Source organism: Homo sapiens, chromosome 9 (genome assembly GCF_000001405.40).
Source record: "Homo sapiens chromosome 9, GRCh38.p14 Primary Assembly".
NCBI lineage: Eukaryota > Metazoa > Chordata > Mammalia > Primates > Hominidae > Homo > Homo sapiens.
Genome location: NC_000009.12, coordinates 76,168,228 through 76,191,733, shown reverse-complemented (window position 1 = coordinate 76,191,733; position 23,506 = coordinate 76,168,228). Strand labels below are relative to the sequence as shown.

General features: G+C 38.3%; 1 protein-coding gene across 9 annotated transcripts in view; it reads right to left on the bottom strand.

Annotated features, from left to right (window-relative positions):
- Positions 1-23,506, bottom strand: part of PCSK5 (proprotein convertase subtilisin/kexin type 5) — a 473,167-nt gene that overhangs the window by 171,242 nt on the left and 278,419 nt on the right. For 8 of the 9 annotated variants that reach the window (NR_120409.2, XM_047423454.1, NM_001372043.1 and 5 more), the window contains 8 exons: positions 21,894-22,030; positions 16,605-16,748; positions 12,036-12,138; positions 10,143-10,336; positions 6,977-7,061; positions 3,059-3,156; positions 2,511-2,640; positions 1,988-2,103 (listed from right to left, as the gene is read on the bottom strand). Coding sequence is in view for 8 of the 9 variants with exons in the window: in XM_047423454.1 (XP_047279410.1) it covers positions 1,988-2,103; positions 2,511-2,640; positions 3,059-3,156; positions 6,977-7,061; positions 10,143-10,336; positions 12,036-12,138; positions 16,605-16,748; positions 21,894-22,030 (1,007 nt within the window). In the remaining variant the exon portion in view is untranslated. Of the gene's footprint in view, positions 1-1,987; positions 2,104-2,510; positions 2,641-3,058; positions 3,157-6,976; positions 7,062-10,142; positions 10,337-12,035; positions 12,139-16,604; positions 16,749-21,893; positions 22,031-23,506 lie in introns of those variants that run through there. The other variant, XM_047423456.1, reaches the window with a different exon arrangement.

Below are 23,506 nucleotides of genomic sequence, written 5' to 3'. Positions count from 1 at the left end.
CACCACCCCAAGCCTTTATCACCCCAGTGTGCTATAGTAGAATCAGCCCTGGCGAGAAAACCTCAGAACACAGGAACTGACTGTGTCGGGCCCATGCCTGCCAGACCAATCACATACTGGAAAAACCATGGAGATGCAAAGTCACCTACGATGCTCCAAAGAAATAAGACCACAAATGATGTCCTATCAGTGCTATCAATCATGTGCCCCGTTCTTTCTGACACCTTTTTGAGATTCTTTGTAGGGAGTTGTGGAATAACCAGATGAGGTCAGTAGTATTATCTTCTTCATTTTTTACAGATGGTGGAAATGAGGCCCAGAGAAGTTCATAACCTGCCCAAGGCCTGGAGACCAGGTATGAATGACAGCATTCTGACTTCCAAGTCCACATTCTCCTGACAATGGTACTGTTTTTCCTTTCATGAAATTTCCAGAAGGGGAAACATTCAAAAGAAGGGAAAGAATAAACCTAGGGCAGCGATCATGTCAGTCAGATTGTTCCAACTGCATATTTTTTGTTTGTTTTCTATTTTTATAACAATCCAAAGATGTTTTGAACAACAATAGTTTAAACAAATAGTTTAAACAATTTCTACATCATTGGCATGTAATATCTGCATAAATTTAGGAGTAAATTTTAGGTCGCTTCAGCGTAAGTTATTTCAAGAGTCAAAAAAGTTCACAAAATGTTGGAGTTGGAATAATTTAAATTCATTCATTTTTACAGATGGGGAAACTGAGGCTAGAGAGGTGAGGAAACTTGGTATTAGCTAAATTGTTAGGGAGAATTGGATGTGCAGTGGTTCTCAAACCTGGCTGCAGATTAGAAACACTTGGGAAGTTAAACCTATGATCATGGGCTGCACCCCAGATCAATTCAATCAGAATATTTGGGGATGGTGCTGCATCCTGGTTCAGAATCATTGGTGCAAAGAACAGACCAACATTTTGAAATATTAAGTTCTATACTTAGGTCTATCATTTCCTAGCTCTACACCTTGGGTTTTCCCTTCTGTAAGATGAAAATATTACTTCCTAGCCTCACAGGCTTAATGAAAGATTCAGATACCCATTTAATTACTGTTTATACATCAAAATTATAAACAATCCAAATAATAGGAGATTGGCTAAAAACTATAGAATCTTCACATGATTGAATTTTATGCTGCTATTAAAAATAAAGTTTCCTAAAACTTTGTAAAAACATAGGATAATGTTTATGCCTAATCCTTAGTGCAAAAAGCAAGATACAAAACTCTATGTGCATGGTATTTTTAATATGGTGAAAACTGGAAAGAAATACAACAATAATTAGCTAGAAAAGGCTACATATTGTATAATTCCAATTATACAGATTCTGGAAAAGGCAAATCTATGGAGACTGTAAAAAAAAAAAAAAAATCAGTAGTGGGTGGGAGAGATGAGTAGGTAATTCACAGAGGAGTTTCAGGGCAGTAAAACTACTTTGCATGGCGCTATAATGTTGCATACATGTTGTTATACATTTGTCCAAACCCACAGAATATATAACCAAGAGTGAGCCCTAATGTAAATTGTGGACTTTGGGTGATAATGATGTGTCACTGTAGGTTTATCAACTGTAACAAATGTATTCCTCTAGTGCTTGATGTTGATAGTGGGGGAAGCTATGCCTGTGTGGGGAAAACGGGGTATATGGGAAATTTCTGAACTTTCTGCTCAATTTTGCTTATGAATCTAAAACTGCTCTCAAAAAATAAAGTTTATTAATTAAAAAAATTAACTTGAGCCATATTGGCCAGTGCCACTGTAGCTGATTTATTTCTTTTTGCAATTCAAACAAATCCATTAAGGGCATAAGTTCAAGATGAATGAATGCCACCAAAATATTGAGCATGTCATATCTGATGCATGCTGTGAGTTTCTTTTTTAAGTGGAAAAATATTAGTCCTGAAAGTAGAAAGATCATACTTTGCTTCATAAGATCGATATGGGCAGTTGTACTCACCATCCTTGCAAATGGCTCCCATTTGACACATTCCTAAGTCTAAGAGATACCCACTAGGGCAGCTTGTACAGTTCTTGAATCCTGGGCCATTGCACGTCAAACAACTGATATCACATCTATGAGAAAAATGTACAATTTTTTAATCCATTCACACATGCACAGGGGAAGGTGTGTTTACTAGCAACCTCATAATGTCTTACATTTAATTATCCCTCTGAAGATTACTCAAAAATCTTTCCTCACAACAATTGCTAGGTTAGGTGACACAGGTAGACACTGTGATTTTAAAGGGTATGGAGCATGTACTTGAAATTGAAATATTAAAGGTTTTAAGGTGCCCCTGAGGCAAAGGAATAAAAATATCAATGATAAGCTGGGTGAAAGCTTCAGAACAGTGTCCACAGGTACATGTTTAAACCTAGTGTTATCATTACAAATTCTAAGTTTTCTTATTTTCTTATGAAGATAGTCATCAAAAGAACTTAGGTCTAAATGCTAGGGCCCAGGGGGCAGATCCACTTACTTTTTGCAGGATTTGTATCCATTCTCTGAAGAGTGGTCAAAGTAATAGCTGATACTACAGCTCTGCACGCATCTCCCATCCTCCATGAAGTAGCCCTCTGTGCAGTTAATGCACCCATCAGCTCCTGCCCCTTAAAAGCAAGACAAACACAGGAAACGAGAAATAAAACCTCAGAGGAGGTGGTGTCATGGGCTTCTTCTTTAACAGTTTGAGAAAATGGCGTCAAAGAATAATAATTTAATATTCATGCTTTTTCTTGATTTCCCTGGGAAAAAAGCCTTCAAAGTTAAAATGGAACCTCTTGACAAAAACATTCACTGTCTTTTGAAAGAGGAGCTATCACTGGGCTATGTAAGTTTCTCAATGAGGATAGGATGCTGATGACTGCTTGACTTTCAATGAGAATACACACACAATTATCAAACGAGAAATAAACTTTTCCAGCATTACTTTAAAAGTATCAAGTGGGTTGCATGAGTGATGGCCCAAACCAGAAAGAAAAGCAAAACCAGAACCGGGAGAATAAACAAAAGAACTAGGGAAGGTACCAGCACAAGTGGCGCAGAAGCGGTGGCAGGGCTGGCAGTCCTGGCCGTTGAAATACCGTCCATCTTCACAGGAGACAGAGCACCGGGATCCCTGCAGGCTGGAAGAAGTATAAAGGGAGCTTCAAACAGACTGTTGTGATGAGGCCAAAACGTAATGACTCCCCAAACTCCATATGTAACAGATACAGTTTCCCTCAGAGGCCAGTGGATTTGGCAAAGCTTCAAAGCCGGGGAAATAGCCCGTGTACCCTTTTTTTTCTCCTCTCAATGCTTATAATGCTTCTCTGTGCCTACAATGATATCTGTAGCATACACACACGCTGCTAGGCTTCGGGGACAGCCTCCTTAATTTGTTAGACTGATGGGCACACTCCTACTTTGCGCAACATCTTACAACCCAGAGGTTTTAAAAAGTATTTGATTGACAAAACAATCACATTGTCTAGCAATAAGCCCAACAATTTCTTAATATCCAGACTTACTACATAATAAATTCAACAGTTATTTCATGATTATAAATGCAGTAGGAACACATGGTACAATGAATTATGACTGAGTAAAAGTGTACGACCATCCTGTCCAACCCACAGCTCAAATTCTCCGGAGTAGCCATTCTGATTTTAAGTGTTTCTGATTTTAGTCTTCTATAGGTTCTCATCAAAACAACAAGATTTAAAATACTTTTGCCTCTATTTCTTGATTTATTCATTTTAAACACTCTAATGAAAAATTTATCAAAACTAACTGTACTGCTATTTCCCCAATCATCTTGACTTTTCTTTGTTGTTATATTATTATTTAGTGTTTCTGGGAGTTATCTAAACTATATTAAATAACCTATTTAAATTTCTATTTACCTAGCAATATGAGATAGTATTTAATGAGTTGTCAGAATGTCAAATGAGAAATGCATATTTTTCTCTCCCTTCTAATTTCTGTCAGCTATCATATTTTTCACAGTCTACAGGCTAATTCTTAAAATTGAAAGCAAATAAAAAATTTTTACTATATTTGGCTGGGCATGGTGGCTCACACCTGTAATCCCAGAACTTCGGGAGGCCAAGGTGGGTGGATCACTCGAAGCCAGGAGTTTGAGACTAGCCTGGGCAACACAGTCAGACGCCATCTCTACAAAGGCTAAAAAAAAATTGCTAGGCATGGTGGTGCCTGCCTGCAGTCCCAGCTACTCGGGAGGCTGAGGCCAGAGGATTGCTTGAGCCCATGAGTTTGAGTGAGCTATGATCACACCACTGCACTCTAGCTTGGCTGTCAGAGCAAGACTCTGTCTCTTAAAAAAAAAAATTACAATAGTTAATATAAAAAATATTATTCACTGAATAACTAGTGTGATTGGAAACATAGTGAGAAAATGTAATCCTATGCTACCAAATCAATGAAACTAGAAGATCAGTATCTAAACAGGGTTAAATGGTTTCCATTGTTTTAAACTCTTTATACTGCTCCAAATTGACATCTTAATTGACTGCTTTGTATGTGGATAATGCTAATTTAAAAAATTAAAATTTATTTTTCCCTATGCTCTTAAAAAAATTTGGAAAGTACAAAAACAAAGTTGAAGAAAAAAGAAACCCGAACAGTCCCCATTAGCATTTAATTTATTTCCTTCCTGGATTTTGTGCACTGATATATTTTTTCCCCTGTTTGTTCTTCACCACTATTTAAAAATTTACAAGTCTCTTGAGGCAAAATGGTCAACCCTGGAAGCCCTTAGAAAAATGCAAGGGGCCTCAAGGAGACTAAGGGCAGCATAAGTGAAAGTGGACTTCATTCATAGATCTCCTCACTGGCCAGAGAGAGAGCGCTGTCATTTAAAAAGCCAAAAGAAAATCCCTTTCCCTTTCTGTAGCACTAGAAAAAAGGATACTGCCTTAAATGGATCCATTTGAGAGGAAATAAGGACCACCGAAACACTTATCAAAGTTAAAAAGCTGCCTAGTTTTTCTAATACAGGACAGCACTTCCTTGTGAGGTTGGCATCTGTTCAGCAGGACACAGAGGTTGCACTGTATGGAGAAGGAATGAGGTAAGGGGGACGTGTAACAGACAGCAGTCACCAACCCTGAAGCTTTCTGCTGCTTCCAAAATACAGGTACTGCGAGGCTAATGCACTTGGTATTGTGAACGCCTCTGTTCTCTCTGTGATAAACTGGCCAGGTTAGACCTGTGCTGTACAACATAATCTGGCACACATGGCTACTGAGACCTCGAAAGGTGGCTATAGTATGGCTAAGAAACAGAATTTTACATTTTATTTAATTTAATTTTAACTAATTTAAGTCTAAATGTGAAAAATTGGCACTTGATTCCATTACTGGCAAAAATTTGGGTACGTTTGGAACAACTTGGCTATGTAAAATTTTCTTTTTCAACTGTGAAACCTAAATAAAGATCAAATATTTCTCATAAAAACAATTTTGTCTGAATTGAGATGTGTTCTAAGGGTAAAATATATATCAGATTTTGAAGACAGTACAACAATGAAAAAGAATGAAAGACATCTGATAAGTTTTTATATTGTTGAAATGATAATATTTTAGATATATTAGGTGAAATAAAATATTTTATTAAACTCATTTCCCCTGTATCTTTTTACTTCTCTTAATGTGGTTACTGGCATATTTAAAATTACATATATGGCTCTCATGTTTCTACCGGCATGCACTGGTTTAACATACTCTATACAATGTTCCCTAAGAAATAAAATAATTTAAATCATCTTTTATTTCTCATGAACCAAGTATGTGCCAGATGGTAGAATAGGTATTTTGTAAATGTTATCACAGTTAACCTTTATCATAATCCAGCAAAACAGGGATTATTATTATCATCATTTTATAGAGGAGAAAATGAAGGCTCGGAGTAGTTAAGTGACTTGCCCCAAATCACACAGTTAATAAATAGCAGAGGAGGATGTGAGCCCACATCTACTTTCTTTCCTTCTATTATACTGCTTTGCTCCTTCTCCAAGAAGAATTAGGTGGCTAATTCTTTCTCAGTACTGAAGTCTTGAGATGAAAATTGCCAAGTAAGCTAATACTGAATGCATTCATGGGGGGAAAAAGAAATGAAGCCATAGATAATTAATCTAAATGAAAATGATGCTCCAATACTGGTTAATGGTGAAGAATGTACCTGCCTGGAAACTGCCTGGACCCTGCCTAGTTTACCTCCAATCACAGGTGGAAATAAAGATATGATCAATACTTAAAAGAAATCCAGTGCAGCAGAGTTCTAATTCTACGTACAGCCTCAGTCCAACTCTTCACTAAATGCAGAATGGTCTCACCTTCCCTACTGAGATCAAGAGGCTACCTAGTTAATTTGAGCTGTACATTGTTCTCTTAGAGAGTTGACCAACTATTGAGCTTTAGCAATGAGCAAGTCATCCATTCAAGGAAAACATCTCCTGGTGTTAAATCTATGTGCATACCATAGCATAATGGAACCAAGCCTGAGATACTTAAGATAAGAGAATGATTGGCTATGTGGAGAGAAATAATAAAGATAAGGGAATAATTTCCGACCATCCAAGGAATGAATCGGGGGATTAAATATAATTCATTGGTATTACCTGCAAAGTAATCCTTGACTGGCACAATGCAGGTTAAAAAGCACAAAGAATGCCTCTCAAATGGCCATTTTTATTGAGTTTTATCTGAGCCATCTTTTCTAAAGAGAATTTATTTGGATATAACCCTTCTTTAGCCAACACAGCATCCCATTTTTCACATATAATAGCAGAGATAATGCAAATAGCAATCAAGTGCTTGAATGGGAGTCAAACCCAGGGTAGATCATAAGAGAGCTGTTTATTTACTTGTTTATCATTTTTTCATTTTATTTACATTGAGAAGCTCTTTGGGCTGTGTTACTTGATAAAATCCTTCACTCTCTTACCTTAACCCATCCCTACATTCTGTACAGTTATGGAATTCAGTACATGTCTTGCAGTTTTCACTGCATTTCCGGCAAAGATTTTTCTCTGTTAAAAAAAAGAGAAAGTTGTAAATCAGTTGGTCAATTGGATTCCATAAAAGCATCAGAGATGTTCTAATGCTTGCTAATGTATGCTACAGTACCTATGGCCTTGACTAGACAATTGCAGGAAAAGCCACAGAATCACTATTTGTTATCATTTCTCAGCAAACCAAGTACAGACAGGAACTGTAACACTGGAAAACACCTTAGACTTCTCTGCCATTTTGCAGACAAGAAAATGATAGCCTAGCTAATTCTTAGTTGAATAGTTTATAGGTCTTTTTTTTTTCTTCTTCTTCCTAGTCTCTCTCCCCAGGAGGGTTTCCTAACTTGCAACAGTGCAAATCCCCCTCATGAAGCTGGGACAACATCACTGTATAGGGATTGAAAGGCAATGCCTGAGACGAAGGAATGGGAATGTAGACCCCCATGCTCATAGCTTTTAGGACTGGTCAGTTGAGCTGAACTAGAGAAGGGAATCTACATTTAAGACTGCAAGGGTAAGGATTGCTTATTTCTAACATTGTTTATTTTAAACACTATTTTAGTGTCTTGCACTTTACAGCTGCAGTGGAATTGGTATAAATGTTATTACAATTCAGATAATATCTCTATTCTGGAGAAATCTATATTCTGGAGAATAGAAATGTATCATTTGAACAAGTATACTGTGAATACTTGCTTTCCTAGTTACTACCAGGTCCATATTGAAAAAAGTTGGCAAATTTATGGTTGTTCTGTGGAGGAAAATATTTGGCATATTAAGAAAGTCCTTCTACCTTAGATAAAATTTTGCTAATGTCTTGGTACCTGCTCTGATATGCAAGTGGATTATATCCATGTGAATTTGTAGAAATGAATGAAGCTTTCTTCATGGGCTTCCATCTGCTCTTTAAATGTTGATGTTCTTCAGGGTTCCATAGAGAAACACAGCTTAGTGGATCCCTGCAAGGGCCTGCTGGATCAAGTCTGAGCCTCTGAGCATGAAATACGAAGCCCCTTACAATCTTAACAGTAGTCATCATACGGTCTCTCTCACTGTCTCATTGAGAACACTGCACATGCATAGAATCTTAACTCAGATGACCTAGATTTGCATTCTGCTTTAAGCACCTCCAGTGGGCAAATTCAGGGTCTCTGTTCTTTTATTCATTAAAATGAGATTACAATGTTACCCACCTCTCTGGTTGTCTTGAGAAGTTAAATAAAATTAATTATTCAAGGGAACGATATGAACTATTAAGCACTGTAAATGTGTTGGCAGTAATTATTACTAGTCATTATCATATGTGATCATCATGTTGTACATAAATGGACTCATTAGAGAGGAAAACTATAACATAAGGCAATTACATAGAAAGAGAGAGATATACAAACCACTTGGATCAACACTTCCTGGTAGCTGAAGTCATAGTTTGAACACCTTAATTATCTACCTTCTAGGCTCTGGAAACAACGGACTCTCAATTACCTTGGTTCTGTCATACAACATTCCAGAATCAAATTTCTTTTTCAAGGCTCAACCTTCCTGATAGAATTTTGACTTTTTTCCTCACAAGGAATACTGCATATTTCTGTGGATTCTTTATGCCCCCTTCTGTCTCCCAATTTCTCCTTTCTCCCTCAAGTCAAATTTCATGTTCTAAATTTTGGGGCAAGCAAGAAAGGCAGAGTCCTTACCCACTGCCCTAAAGGGTAAGTTGAAAGACCCTCTCTGCCTCACAGAGAAATGCTCCTCTTTGAAACCAGAGAGAATTTCACTTCTTAAGAAGCAAGAGTATTCACTTCAGATTTCTTGTCTGATTTTATTTTAAATAACTCTTGTTCTTTTAAACTTGAGTTTTCTCTTTGTCTCCTTAGGTTGTGCAAAAACATGAAATTTCAGTGCCATCATATACCATGGTATGAGGTCCTTGTTAAGAGAAATTATCCAGAACTCAGAAATAAAGGAAAAGATAACTGCAGTCCTTTTCAGAGCCACACTAGAGCACTGTCTAATAGGTCTACCTTAAGACTATTTAATTCTCTAGGGCAATATACCTTCGTCTGTTTGCTAATGATGGCTGATTAGGGCCCAAACTCTGTGTTAAGGTACACATTTTTGTTTGGTAAAGTTGCAAATTACTCCTATTCATTAGAAAAAAAAAACACTCCCCCAAATTCTACTTGTATTGCCATGTAGAAAATTATTAAATTATTCAATTTTGTCTCCAACTTAGCAAAAGGATTTCCATTTTGCCTTTCCTGGTGGACTACAGTACCTGATCATCTTTTAGCCCTATTTGTCACCTTGCAAGTTCCCTCATTAGTGGGTTAAATAAGTCATTGACAAATGTTCATTCTACTCTTAAAAGACAGTCATATTTTTTGAACTTTTTAAAAAGTATATTTTGATATCATACAGGCCTGGTGTCTATTTGGTCAGTATGCAGAAAAGAGCAGCCTGAATGTTGTCCTTAGCAAATCTGCTTGTAAGGTTGGCCCATGGCTGGCACATCTGGGAACTTGAATTTTGGGAGGGTTCCCACTACCCTGAAAAGAGTGGCTCACTTTGTCTAAACTGTTTGTATAAACAATATGGTTTATGGTGAACACCTATTTTCCTTTGAAGACTCTGGAATTTTGGTATGTGTCAGGTCTGACCAGCCCCCAGTGACAACCCTGGGCCCTGAGTCTCTAATGAGGTTCCCTGGTAGACAACATTTCATGCACGTCGTCACGCATTGTTGCACGGGGAAGTGAATATGCCCTGTGTGGCTGAACCTTGTTCCATATGCCTTTTCCCTTTGATGATTTGTTGCTGTAATATCTCCTATCTGTGAGTTCATGAGCACGACTATACCCCAGGCCTTGTGAATACTCCCAGCAAATCACTGAATCTGGGGGTGGTCTTGAGGATACTCTGACAAAGTTATAAGCATTTTTACATGAAGCTTCTAAAGGGTTCTCTTAAAATGAATGAACTAGATCCTGTTTGATATGAAGCACAATTCCAGATTTCACAAAGAGGCTATCCCTCCTGAGGTCACTCAAATGAAAACACCACATTTCTTCTCTAAAACCCAAGTATTTGAAGTGAGCTTACTGGTATCCTGATATGACCCATCAGGGCAGTGAGTAACACAGCTGTTGGTTTCTTCATTCAGAAAGTATCCATATTTGCAGGACATGCATTGGTCACCATGGCTCCCAAAGCAGGACTCACAGTTGGGGGCACACTTCCTGCAGCGCTTCTTGTCGGCGTGGTAGTGGCCAGGGGGGCAGCTGGAGACACAGATCCTGCATTGTGAAACAATAAGAAAGAAGGCAGCGTCATGAGCAAACCAGTCCCCAGCATTCTCTTGGAGGTGCTGAGCAAATGGCTGAGCTCAGCTTCCAAATCACTTTTAAACCAGGATGCCAACACCACATCCAGAGAGCCAGATTGTTTGTTAAACTTCCTCCTGCACAGTGTGCTGAAGTAGCAATGCAGTTACCCAACACCAAATCTACCAAGGACTTGTCAAACCATTTCCTGGTTTGCACCTAGCTCTTGAAAAATGATGATGGTTACAGAGAGGAAGGTTATGGTGGTGAATCAGAGGAAAACTATGTGGGAACCACAACTCTATTCAAAAAGGTCCCTTTAAAAAGGTGTGACTTCTATTTTCGTGTGTTGTTTGTCATATGGATCCTGTATGTGCATGTGTGAGTGGTGGTGGTGGTTGTATGCTGTTGTCTAAATTAATATAAATATATTTAAATTTATGTTGTATATGAGAACACTTAAAAAAAAAAAAAAACTTCCTTGTTTGCCCATAATGGAAGCACAGAGCTTTATTTATCCATTCAACAAATATTTACTGAGCACCAATTAAATATCAGGCATGTTGCTAAGTGCAGGAGATAACAGAGGCTGGGAGATAGCCAAAGTCCTCCTTTCTCTTAAGGAATTTAAATTCCAGCAGACTTACAGCAGGAATTCTTAACACGTCTGGGTCTGTCTGGGGGACTGGAGTATGGAGGAACCGTGTGGCAGCTATGCTTAGTGAGTTTTCGCCTGAAGGAGGAGGGAGAAGGTGGGTGGGGCTGTGGGAGACAAGGGGAGGTCAGGATGAACTCTGATGGGGGCAGTCACCATTCCTTGGCTCTGCCCAGGAAACATATCTGCACAGCTCAAGCAGACACCAGGGGCTCAGAGGCACAGGGTCCACCTTAGTGCCCAGGGCAGAAGAGTGAGATCAAGCAGGACCAACCCCTTTGCCACACTGATGGCCTATGTGCTGGAAAATGTGGAAAAGCATCAGTTTGGCCTGTGCATTGGCATCTTTGTGAAGCCATGAAATCAAACATCAGTGGGGTGGAAAGGACATGAAACTTGTGTGAGATGGGAGGAATAAGTTCAAGAAATCTATTGTACCTCATGATGACTAGAGTTAATAACAATTTATTGTGTACTTGAAAATTGTGACGAGAGTAGTGTTTAAGTGTTCTGGCCACAAAAAAAGATAAGTATGTGAGCTAATGCATATGTTAAATAGCTGGATTTAGTTGTTCCAAAACGTGTGTACGTATGTATATGTGTGTGTGTGTATATATATATATATATACACACACACACATATATATATAAACATCATGTTATGCATTATAAATACATGCAGTTTTTACTTGTCAATTAAAAAAAAAAAAAAGAAAGGTCTGGAGGGGCAGGTGCTTAGCTGGTTCCTCCACCGTCCTCCAAACGTGAGAGAAGACATTTGCAGTTTCACAGCATACATGCACATTTTGCGTTTTGTAACTCAATATAGTTTTCACCATTCTGAATAACACAGGGAGGCAGTCGGCCTGCACAGCAGCCTCTTTTCTATGTTTCGGTCCTGGTGGGAGAATAGTGGAAGATGCCAGTGGCCTGCACACACCCCATGGTATTAGCCTTGCAGGAACTCCTAAGATGCCTGGCACATGCTGTGGGGATGTGACTTGGCACCTCTCTTACCTGGTATTGTTTTTCAGCTTGTAGTAGTAGTGCAAACAGTCATTGCAGTGGTCTGGTCCTGGCCCGTCACAGCCAACCTCACTGCACTCAGGGTCGCAGGGACCTTTCCAAAAGACATTAGAACAATACTTGGAAAAATGATTTTAGAGCAGGTCAGCTTTACCTTGAATTTGGTATAAAAATAAGACTTTTTTTTTTCTTATGCAGAGAGTTTCTTTAAGACAGAGGAATAATTGTCAATGTGGCTTTAGGTCCAGAGATGAGCTCTTGACTTTTTTTGACTTTTGATTCCTAGGCAACCTCAATTACCTAGGTATAAAGAATGTAAATTCTAGTCATGGCCTGGTCTTCAAAGCATATATGGCTGCCTTGTGGTAGATAAATATTTGAGAATTCAAATGAACTGTAGCAACTGGAAAAAAACCAACTGCAATTAAGTATGTGTAATAGTAAAAAGATTGGATTTGTAGAAAAGAGAGAAGTTGTTGACAAAAAAGAAAAAAGCATTATTATTTAACGCCTGGACCAAATGACCTGTCTCATTAAAGCTACTGAATACCTCTGAAATACTGTGGCCAGGAAGAAACACCATTACAGCACCTGGCACAAGCTTATCAGCATCCAGTCTCAGACACAGATAATAGATTTAAAATTGCATCCTACACAAAGGCCAATGGGCAATTCAACAAAAGAAAATGACATATAAATTTAAAAAAAACGCAAGCAAGCTTAAAGGATTCCAGACCTGGGATGAAAGTTCCCAATCTCTCTTACTACATATTCTTTGGTATAGAACTGAAGATAATGAACAGTAAGAAAAAAAAATGCCAGAAAGATGGAGCTATTTTGTGATTGATGAAAAACTTTCTAATGACATGGGCTAGTTATAGAAGTTTTTAATTCTCTTCTTTGTTCTCCATATTCTGGAACATTTGGTCTCATAATCTGCAAACTCTTTCCCACTGAAAATTCATATGATTTTAACTAGCAATAAATATATTGAATGAAATGTACAAATAGTAAGTCAAGGGTAGTAGAAAATCTACTTATTGTAACCCAAAGGACTTACTGTTACACCTTGGTTTCTTTGAGTCATTATGGGACTATGTTTCATAATTAACTGAATCACAGAAACATAAAAAAATGTTAGAACTCGGGTGGAATGACTTAGAGAAAAATCTGGTAGTCAAATACCCTCATTTTACTGATGAAGAAACTGATTTTCCAAGAATTTCAGTGGCTTGCCCAGTATCACATGGTGAGGAGAGGGGATCAACATAGGCCCTGATACTTAGGTAAAAATTCCTGCTTAGATGTAGCAAATCACGTACTAGGGATGACTTCTCCATCTGAATGGAAATAAGTCATTTCAAAATGCTGCAGACTCGAATATACTTCTGATTAACTGCAAGAGTCATTTGACAGCACTGCTTATTTCTATTTTCCCCAAAGCTTCAAATCGATCTCCAAATTCCATAGCTACTGCAACTTGGGACATTTTAGCCATCTGCCATCGTACACCAGGGGAGTGGTGTCTCTGCTGTCTATGGACTGAAGTTCAGCCAGCTGTGATCTCACAGTCCCTTGGATCCAATGACACAGTACGGGAATCTGGTTATGATAACGCCATCTGTGTCTCTAATCTGGCTGACTTCTAAATGAAGGTGAAAATTGCAGCTCCAAAGGAAAGGAGTCATGGGTGGCCCTAAATTTTCACCAGATGACTTCTAGAATTAAAAAAAAAAAAATCCCAAACATTTATTCTTGATATTTGCCAAAAGGGCTCTCACTGTATGGCAAATTCACATACTATGCTGTTTCTTTTATCATCTTAAACTGTCCCAGATGAAGTTTAGCATTGTAGGTTGCAGGATAATAATGCAATAATAGTCTTGGTTCTCTCACAAGTGCCAATATTGATGTTTTAGAGATATAATCAGAAAAACCACAAAGATATATAACTGTTCTGAATCTCAACATTCCAAAATTTGAATGGGAAACATTACCAAAATATGAATAAAGAGTAACAGCTTACTATTATACTCTATTTATGTTTTTTGGATCTACTTTCTCCTATCCGAGAAGACAAAATAGTTTGCTAGTTAAAATATAAATAGCAATGCTATAGGCTCAAAGCAAAACATCACAAAATCTAATACAATCCAGCTCTGATAAGCTCAATTGGTCTTAATTTCAAGCATGTTTATTGATTCTAGGATGCTATCTGTTTAGAATAAAAGTAACTACATGTGTATTTAAGATACTCTGTTCAGGTGGTTAATGAAGTACTTTTATTTTTAGTATTTAGAGGAAAACCTCAGAACTGCAAGAAAAAATATTTCTCATCTAAAGATACATTAAACTTGTATTTATAGTTCTTTTTTTTCTTTTCTTTTCTTTTTTTTTGAGACTGAGTCTCACTCTGTTCCCAGGCTGGAGTGAAGTGGCACGATCCCGGCTCACTACAACCTCCGCCTCCTGAGTTCAAGTGATTCTTGTGCCTCAGCCTCTCCAGTAGCTGGGATTACAGGTGCGTGCCACCACACCCGGCTAATTTCTTTTTGTATTTTTAGTAGAGATGGGGTTTCACCATGTTGCCCAGGCTAGTCTCAAACTCCTGAGCTCAGGCAATCCACCCTCCTCGGCCTCCCAAAGTGCTGGGATTACAGGCGTGGGCCACCGCACCTGGCCTATAAACAGTTCTTCATTAGGAGAAGCTTTGTCCATTATGCGTTACATGTCATATCTTAGAAGGATTGAATGCTCCTAGGAGTGCTAGCCAATGCAACAAGACAGTAGTCAGAAATAATGACAAGAAGGACAACAAAACCAATTTGTAGACGATAAGGCTGTAATACCTAAACCATCCCAGAAAATCAACTCTAAACTATATAAATTAATGAGAGAGTTAAGCAAAGTGGCCATATAAAATAAATACAACCAATAGATTTCCTACACACCAGCATACACTAGTTAGAAAGCATGGAATATTTTCCACTATAAGAGCACCAAGGCCCAAAAATACTTAGGTGTAACGCTAACAAGAAGAAAACTACATAAAATTAAAAGATTGCAGTAAAGTGGGACATGATCTATGTTTTAAATGGAAAGATTGTATGTTGCAAAAACAATTCTTCCCATAAGACTGCATATAAATTCAAATTAAATTCCAATGAGACTTTTAAAGGGAGACTTAAAAATCATTCTAAAATTCATCTGGAAGAATAATAAGGCAATAATTGCTATGGAAATGGGAAGCAGATGTTCTACAAATATAAAAATAACATCATGAAATGAAAACAAAACAGTGTGGGTGGTATTGGTTTGAGAATTATTAGATTGATGAATCAGAAAAGGCGGAACCAGAAAAGATGCTGGTATAAGAACTTACTATATTGTTACAAAGGAAGCATCCTAAACTAATAAAAAAAGAAGGGATAGTTACTTGGCCAATGATGTTAGTCTGTTTGGAAAATAACTAAAGACAGAGCTTCAATTGACACTGTATATCATAAACCAAAATGAGTTCCAGATGAATTAATGGCCAAATGTAAAAAATAAGAGATTACCAAGCAAAGCATGTGAATATTCAGTAGACATTAAAGGATAAAACTTCTGCAAAATATCAGTGTTATATCTGAGACCATAAACCCCAGCCTCTAATAGTTTTTTTTTTTGTCAAAACAACACAAACCAAAACAAAACTTAACAGTGATAAGTGAGAATATGTTTTCAGCAAAGACGAAACAATGTGAGAGACAATAACATACAGAGTGTTCACAAGGAGATAAGAGGATTACTGTACTTCGAATAGAAAAATGGATAAGACAGTTGTATTTAATTCAGAGAACTACAGAGGAAGAAATGTTTAGATTTACAGGCAATCAAAGCTATAACACTTTTAAAACGTTCACCTCTTTCTTTTTTTTACTTTTTTTTCTCTTTATTTTTTTCTGTTGGCAGGAATGAGTGTAATAAACAATCACATAGCTGGTCACAGTGAAGACTGGTACATCTTGTCTGGATAGCAAGTGACAAAATGTTTCCAAGCCCTAAAGCTGATTATCCTCTTTGATGCAGTAAGTCTCAAAACAGAACTCTATTCTAAAGAAATAATGAAGATATAGACAAAGATTGATAAATAATGATGTTTATCCAAACCGTGTTTAAAATAGTGTAAAATTCTGTAAGCGAACAATATGTCCCAGATTACAGATTAACTATATTATGGTACAATCGCAATATGGACTATTAGCTTTGCAGATAACACATATGGATATTTGAATATATGAGTGCACTGATATACACACACAAATATTTAAGGGGAAGAAAATATGTCAGAATATGGGTAGTAGATTGTTCTGTTCTATTCTATTCTGTTCTGTTCTATTCTATTCTATTCTATTCGATTCGATTCGATTCGATTCCATTCCATTCCATTCCATTCCATTCCATTCCATTTCATTCCATTCCATTTCATTCCATTCCATTCCATTCTGTTCTCCCATGTGGTGGGATGATGCATGAGCTGCCTCTTTTTAGCCTGTGTCCCACTGGAAGCCAGCTCACCTGCATAATCCTCTGTGCCATAGTCGTCTGTGGGGTCTTCAACTCGGCTATAGCGGAACCGTTCCACTTTCGGAAATTCATTGGTTGGTGAATATGGCTGCACGGAGGTGCCGTAGAGGACCAAAGACCATTCTTTCAATTTACCTTGAGAAATAATAATGAAATCACAGCATGACCAAATTTTCCCTCTTTAGCTCTGTAACATCTTTAAGTCCTTCTCACTCAAGAAAAAGCAACAGAACTGTGGGAGGCAGATGGATATCAATCACTACATCAAACGCAGAGCTAGAAATGCGTATTTCTCGTCATCTGCAGAATTATTTAATAATTCACATACCACATATTGACTGAGCATGTACTACCAGAGAGGCCTTGATTTAATCAGCATTTATAGGAAGACTGAGAAACAAACACACTTCAGATTGCTGGATCAAGGGCTGAATTTCAAATTAGAAATATTTAAGAGAATCCCAGGACTTAATAGAAGGCTTTGTTTTTCTAGGTATAAAAAGTCTTATATGGCCCGGTGCGGTGGCTCATGCCTGTAATCCCAGCACCTTGGGAGGCTGAGACTGGTGGATCACGAGGTCAGGAGATTGAGACCACCCTGGCTAACACGGTGAAACTCCGTCTCTACTAAAAATACAAAAAAAAAATTAGCTGGGCGCAGTGGCACGTGCCTGTAGTCCCAGCTACTTGGGGGGCTGAGGCAGAAGAATCCCTTGAACCTGGGAGGCGGAGGTTGCAGAGAGCGGAGATCACGCCACTGCACTCCAGCCTGGGCAACAGGGCAACACTCCATCTCAAAAAAAAAAAAAAATTTTTTTTTGGCATTATCTGACTTGTTAATAAGTAGACAGAACAACTCTTTGTTCTCCCTAATTCCTGGTATCGGTCATTCAATATTAAGAAAACATCACTAATTATACTGTCCTATAGACCTGTGCTGTCCAATGTGATAGCCATTAAACATTTGATTATTTAAACTTAAATGAACTAAAATTAACAAAAATTTTGAGATTCAGCTTCTCCATCACACTAACCATATTTCCAGTGCTCAAGAGCCATATGTGGCTAGTGGCCATCCTACTGGACAGCATTTCCATCATTGCAGAATGTTCTATGGGTCTATGTGCAAAACAGCATTTTCTTTCTTTTTTTTTGATTTCGTTCTGTCACCCAGGCTGGAGTGCAATGGCATGATCTAGGCTCACTGCAACCCCTGACTCCCTGGTTCAAGCAATTCTCCTGCCTTATCCTCCCAAGTAGCTGGGATTACAGGTGGCCCCCACCACACTCAGCTAATTTTTGTATTTTTTAGTAGAGACAGGGTTTCACCATGTTGGTCAGGCTGGTCTTGAACTCCTGACCTCAGGTGATCCACCCGCCTTAGCCTCCCTAAGTGCTGGGATTACAGACGTGAGCCACCACACTTGGCCCAAAACAGCATTTTCTGGGCAGGAACGCCTTGAGACCTGAGGCAAGTGTTTCACCTTCTATGAGTCTGGATCACTTACAAGGAACATTTTGCTTTAGTTTAGTTCTTATTTGTTAACTTATTTCTTAGCTTCACAAAATTGTGTTCAATGCAAAAAGTAAAAAAAAAAAAAAAAAAAAAAAAAAAAAAAAAAAAGGAAACGTGCCTCCATTTCATTAAAGTTAGTAAAACTGATCTCAAAAGGAATCAACCGTAAGCAGAAGTGATTAAGACAAAACCATTACAAACATAGGCATATGCTGGTAGGAAGGTAGAATGCCCCTCAGAACCCCTCTCACCTTGGCTGAATGCATAGAATCCAGACAAGGTCAGGGGCTAGCTCAGAAAGTGACGGATTTCAGCTTGTCAGCTTCCTTCATCTATGAGCACCTACCATCACCAACAAATCGATGTTTGATGTTTTTAAGTGCTTTCTATATGCTAAGCACCAGTCTAAGTGATTTGTAAGTTTTATTTCATTCACTGTTCAAAACAACTCTAAGGTGGGTACTAACAGTCCCAATATATAGAGGAGGAAACAGAGCTACAGAGGTTGGTAACTTCCTCAAAGGCAATAAGAGGACAGATTGGTATTAAAACATACTCCAATTCCAAATCCTGTGTTTTTAAACCATATACAAAATTATCTCCTATTCATTTCTAGGAGTTTAGGAGCCTGACATTTAAAAATGAACACATTCTGTGATGCATGCATTTTTTTCTGACTTTTACATTGGACCAGTACAATCGGTTTATGTATGGTTTGCCCTCTGCCAGCTTTTCTTTGGACTCATTTGTTAATGACCAGGCTTTTCACAATCAGGGTATTATTCAGGCCCAGAATTCTAAGTAACACGCATTAGGGAGTGATAAGAAGTGAATGACTGCTGGAAATTGATGACCTATCTGATTGCCTTTAGGTAGCAGTGCAAAAGAGAACGCATTTTCCTTATGGCATCTCTCAAGTGTACAAATGAAGCATATAATACAAGGACACTATAGGTCATCCTAATCATTAGTCACCTTAAAATTTAGTTCATTTTATTTAAGATCATTTTGGATGCAAAAGTTTACCCTCTAAGTGCTTTGAAGAGTGCTGTCTCAAAATTGATTATTTCCCTTTGTGCCATTTCTGAAGGACATCATAAGCCCACTAGGGATATCCTTCCTGTGTAATTCATCTCTTTATATTTCACTTATTATGTAATTTTATTTCCTTAGAACCTCTACTATGATTCACTTCAAATAACTGCCATATTTGGGCCATCATTTTTTTTTCTCCTCTACCCCTTTTTCTGTTTGCTAAATTTTATAGATGATTTTGCAATTAATATTGAAACCTGTTATTATGAAATAGCTGTGTAAATACAGAAGGAGAAAAATCCATCTTCCTTGCTAACACATAAATGCAATCTGCGTATATAGGTTCAATGTGCCAAAAATCAAAACAACACCCTCAAATGCTCTTAATATGTATTGTAATAATAAATAAATGACAAGAGACAATAAATAAATATAAATTCAGTTTGGAGCCAGGAAGTTCTATATTAGGGGATGAGTCTACCATTTAATTGGGCTAGAAAATTCTACAGATCCAACTGAATTTCTATTCGCTTACTGATGTAACCCTTATTAATCAGAGAGGAAGAAACCTATCATAGGACTGTACACCACAGAAACAATGATATAGACACATGCACATACACACACACACCCCCCCACCCATAAACAGGACACTCAAAGTCCCTTACTAAAGGTGTAACTAATCCTGAAATGAAAGGTTGGTTGAAGTAAAGATACACAAAGACTATATGTTTCTATTAAAGTCTCCAGGCCAGTAATAGCATTAGGGTATCTCTCGTCTGGCGTAAAAAGAACACCTCAACACCTCTAAAATGACTGGAGGTGACTAGGGTTAAATGTGAACATTTAAATAGTATAAGGAGATGCCTCTGCTATGAAATAGGTAACTCTAGATTATCTGAGCTACTGTAGAGTTTTAAGTGCACATAATCATAGTAAGCTCTGTATAGACTCAGAACTTCTTGAGGGCAGAGGGATTTATATTCGTGACCCCTGACCCTTAGATGCAATGCATGGTTAACCAGTAGCCCTTAGGAGCAGCCTGGGCTTATCATGGAGAGTAGAATTTCTGGTGTCTGGTGGTAATAAAGAACAGAGTCACGTTTAGTTAGTTTTATAACTTTAAAATGCTCAAAAACATACTCTTTATGTCTGCACCTTCCTTGGTACACAACTGCCACATTTGACAGTGTTTATTTCTCCGGGGTCTCTTGTCCTGTAAGAGTCCAGCAGTGATGCCTGCTAATGGATCACAGCCCAGTCACCATGCTTCCGTTTCACCTATGTGCCATGACCCTGTGCAACCTCATGGCAGGGCAATAAGCATGCGCTGCAAAGAGGAAGAAAGGAGAGAGGAAGATCCTGGGAACTAATGTAGATTATGAAGAGGTGAAAGGGTCTAGAAACTCTGGGCTATAATCTGCATGTTTTCTCTATCAATCCTGCCTTATTGACAAACATTTGCTTTCTTGATAAAAACTTGGTTACCACTATATTCAGGCTGCATTCTGGAGGTGAGCTGGGCACAGATACTCTTTAACAAAACGTTTATCCTGATTCATTGTGACCTGGCCACCATTCTGGCTTTGACCTCCCTGATTATGGGACCACTGTGGCAAACAAAGATGAACCTCATTACAGAACTAGGGAAGGGATAACCAAAATGTACAGTCAACAATGGATCTCTCAGAATGAGTAACTTTCTCAGATTGGCAGGCAAAAGTCTGGCAAACGTGCCCTTTATCCCTGTGTTCTGCTGTGTGCCTCCTTTGCCCTGTGCAGCTAGCTGTATCTGAATGCTACACACTCCCACAATTACAGAATGTCTAGGTTACTTTATTCTGTAATCTGGAGAGGGCTAGAACTGGATGTCAGTCCTAAAACTTCCCCCAAGCCTGGTTCTTCTAAAGAGGACTGGACAGAGCACTGAGAAGGAGGACTTTATCTGATGGCTAAAGATGTGTTCATGGATGGGTGGGAAGCTAATTAGTTATCAAACAGATCATTCACTGCTGAGCCACTCTGTAGGGCTCTGTAATGGGCAACACAGTCTCTCACCCCATGTTGCCTTGTACTTTCCCTTATTTTATATTATAAACAAGCTTTACAGGTTAGCATGAAGACGGGAATAGGCTGTGTGCAGAAACAGACTGAGCCTACCTGAAAAGACCTTTGTTAACATCATAATTTCTGTTTTACATGTCAAGAAGGGTTTCTTTTTCCTTGGCTCTTGGGCTCATGCAGGGAAGAATATCATCATCATTTTCTTTGGTGGTACCCAGATTAGCTGGCATGGGCCGAGCTCAATGTCTTGCCTAAACTGAAAAGTAAATTTAGGGAAAACTAAAAAGAAATAGATAACTAAGGAAGCCTGTCTCTTCTTGTGAGATCATGCAATTGAACTCAGTGCCGGTGGACAGGCTGGCTTGTTTACAGACATAGAAAGTCTGGGAAGCTGGTTAGAGATGTGGATCATGTATTCTGAAACATCAATCAAAAGCTGTCATGTTTTGTTCTATACTATATGTATTCTTTATTTCCTATCCTTAAATTACTATCTCTCAAATGGTAATCTTGAGAACTGAAATACATGCAGGTAATTCAAAGCACACATGAAATGAACCACATGAGAAAAGATGCTAATATGTGAGTGTGAAACACTCTGGCCAAAATATACTCCATCATTTTCTTCTACACAGTAGAACAATGTATAGAAAGGGAGTTCTCACCTGGAGTCTTAAAGTTCCTTAGCTGAGAGGGAGTATCATAAACTTCAAGGACCCAGTCACCAGCAGCTCTTTCTCCCCAGCAATGAATGGTCATGAACTCCCAGTTTTTGAATCCTTCCATGGAGTGATCAAATAGCCTGAAAGTGAACAAAACATTGTTATGTGCGATATTTCAAATCCAATGAGGGTCTAGTTAATACCACAATCGACACTGTTTTTTGTATCCATTAGCAAGTTCAGCTGGGCACTAGAGCTGGTCTGCATCCTGGATGTCACCAATTTGCAGATATATATATATACATATATATATAAATCATTGTTTTACCACAGAGAAACAGAATTGGGGCTGGCTATGTAATAGCAAATCTGGAAGGGAGAACCCACTGGGGATCAGGAAAACCAGGTTAAGACTCTACCTACAAGACTGACAGTAGAGTATTGAAGACGTGGAGGAGCTAGGGCTCTCTTATACTGCTGATAGGAGTGCAAAATGATACGAGGCTCTGGAAAACAGTTTGACAGTTCCTATAAAGTTACACACACACTCACCATAAAACTCAACAATCCTCCTCCTACCTATTTAAACAAGATAAATGAAGACATATGTTCACACGAAAAACTTCATATGAATGTTCATAATTCCCCAAAACTGTAAACAACTCAAGTGTCCATCAACTGGTAAATGTGTAAACAAATTATGGTACAGTCGGCCCTCTGTATCTGTGGATTCTGCATGTGTGAATTCAATCACAGATTGAAAATGGATGACTGTATATCCATACAACAAACTACCCAGTAATAACTACTAATACATACCATGATATAAATGAATTTAAAAAACATTATGCTAAGTGAAAGAAGCCAGATACAAAAGACTACATACTGCATGATTCAATTTATACAATATTCTAGAAAAGGCAAAATTATACGTAAAGAAACAGATCAGTGGTTGCCAGGGGCTGGGGAGGAGTGAGGAAAAGAGGCATGGGGAATTTTTGAGGGTGATAGAATTGTTTTATATGTTGAAAGTAATGGCGTGTGGCTATACAGCAACACAGATTTGTCAAAACTCACTGAATTATTCACATAAAAAACTGAATTTACATTGTAGGTAAATTATGCTTCAATAAAAAGACTGCCCACTAATCTTATCCAGTTCAGGGAGTTATGCCTGAAATCCCAGCCTAGATCCTGCTCTTTCAGTCCTTCCAGTGATTTCCAAAGCTCCGAATTTGCAGTTTAAAATCTCTTCCTGCTTGAAATAGCTAGAATTATTCTGTTTCCTGCAATGGAATCCTGAAAGATATGAAGTATGAAGGGAAAGAAAACAAACAGATTCCCTTTCAAGAATAAAGAGACATTAATAATGTATAAAATTAACATATTAAGAAATAAGTGGGTGCAGCGGTTCATGCCTGTAATCCCAGCACTTTGAGAGGCTGAGGTGGGCAGATCACCTGAGGTCAGGAGTTCAGACCAGTCTGGCCAACATGGTGAAACCCCGTCTCTACTAAAAATACAAAAATTAGCCGGGTATGGTGGTGTACCTGTAGTCCCACTACTCAGGGGGCTGAGGCAGGAGAATCCCTTGAACCCAGGAAGCAGAGGTTGCA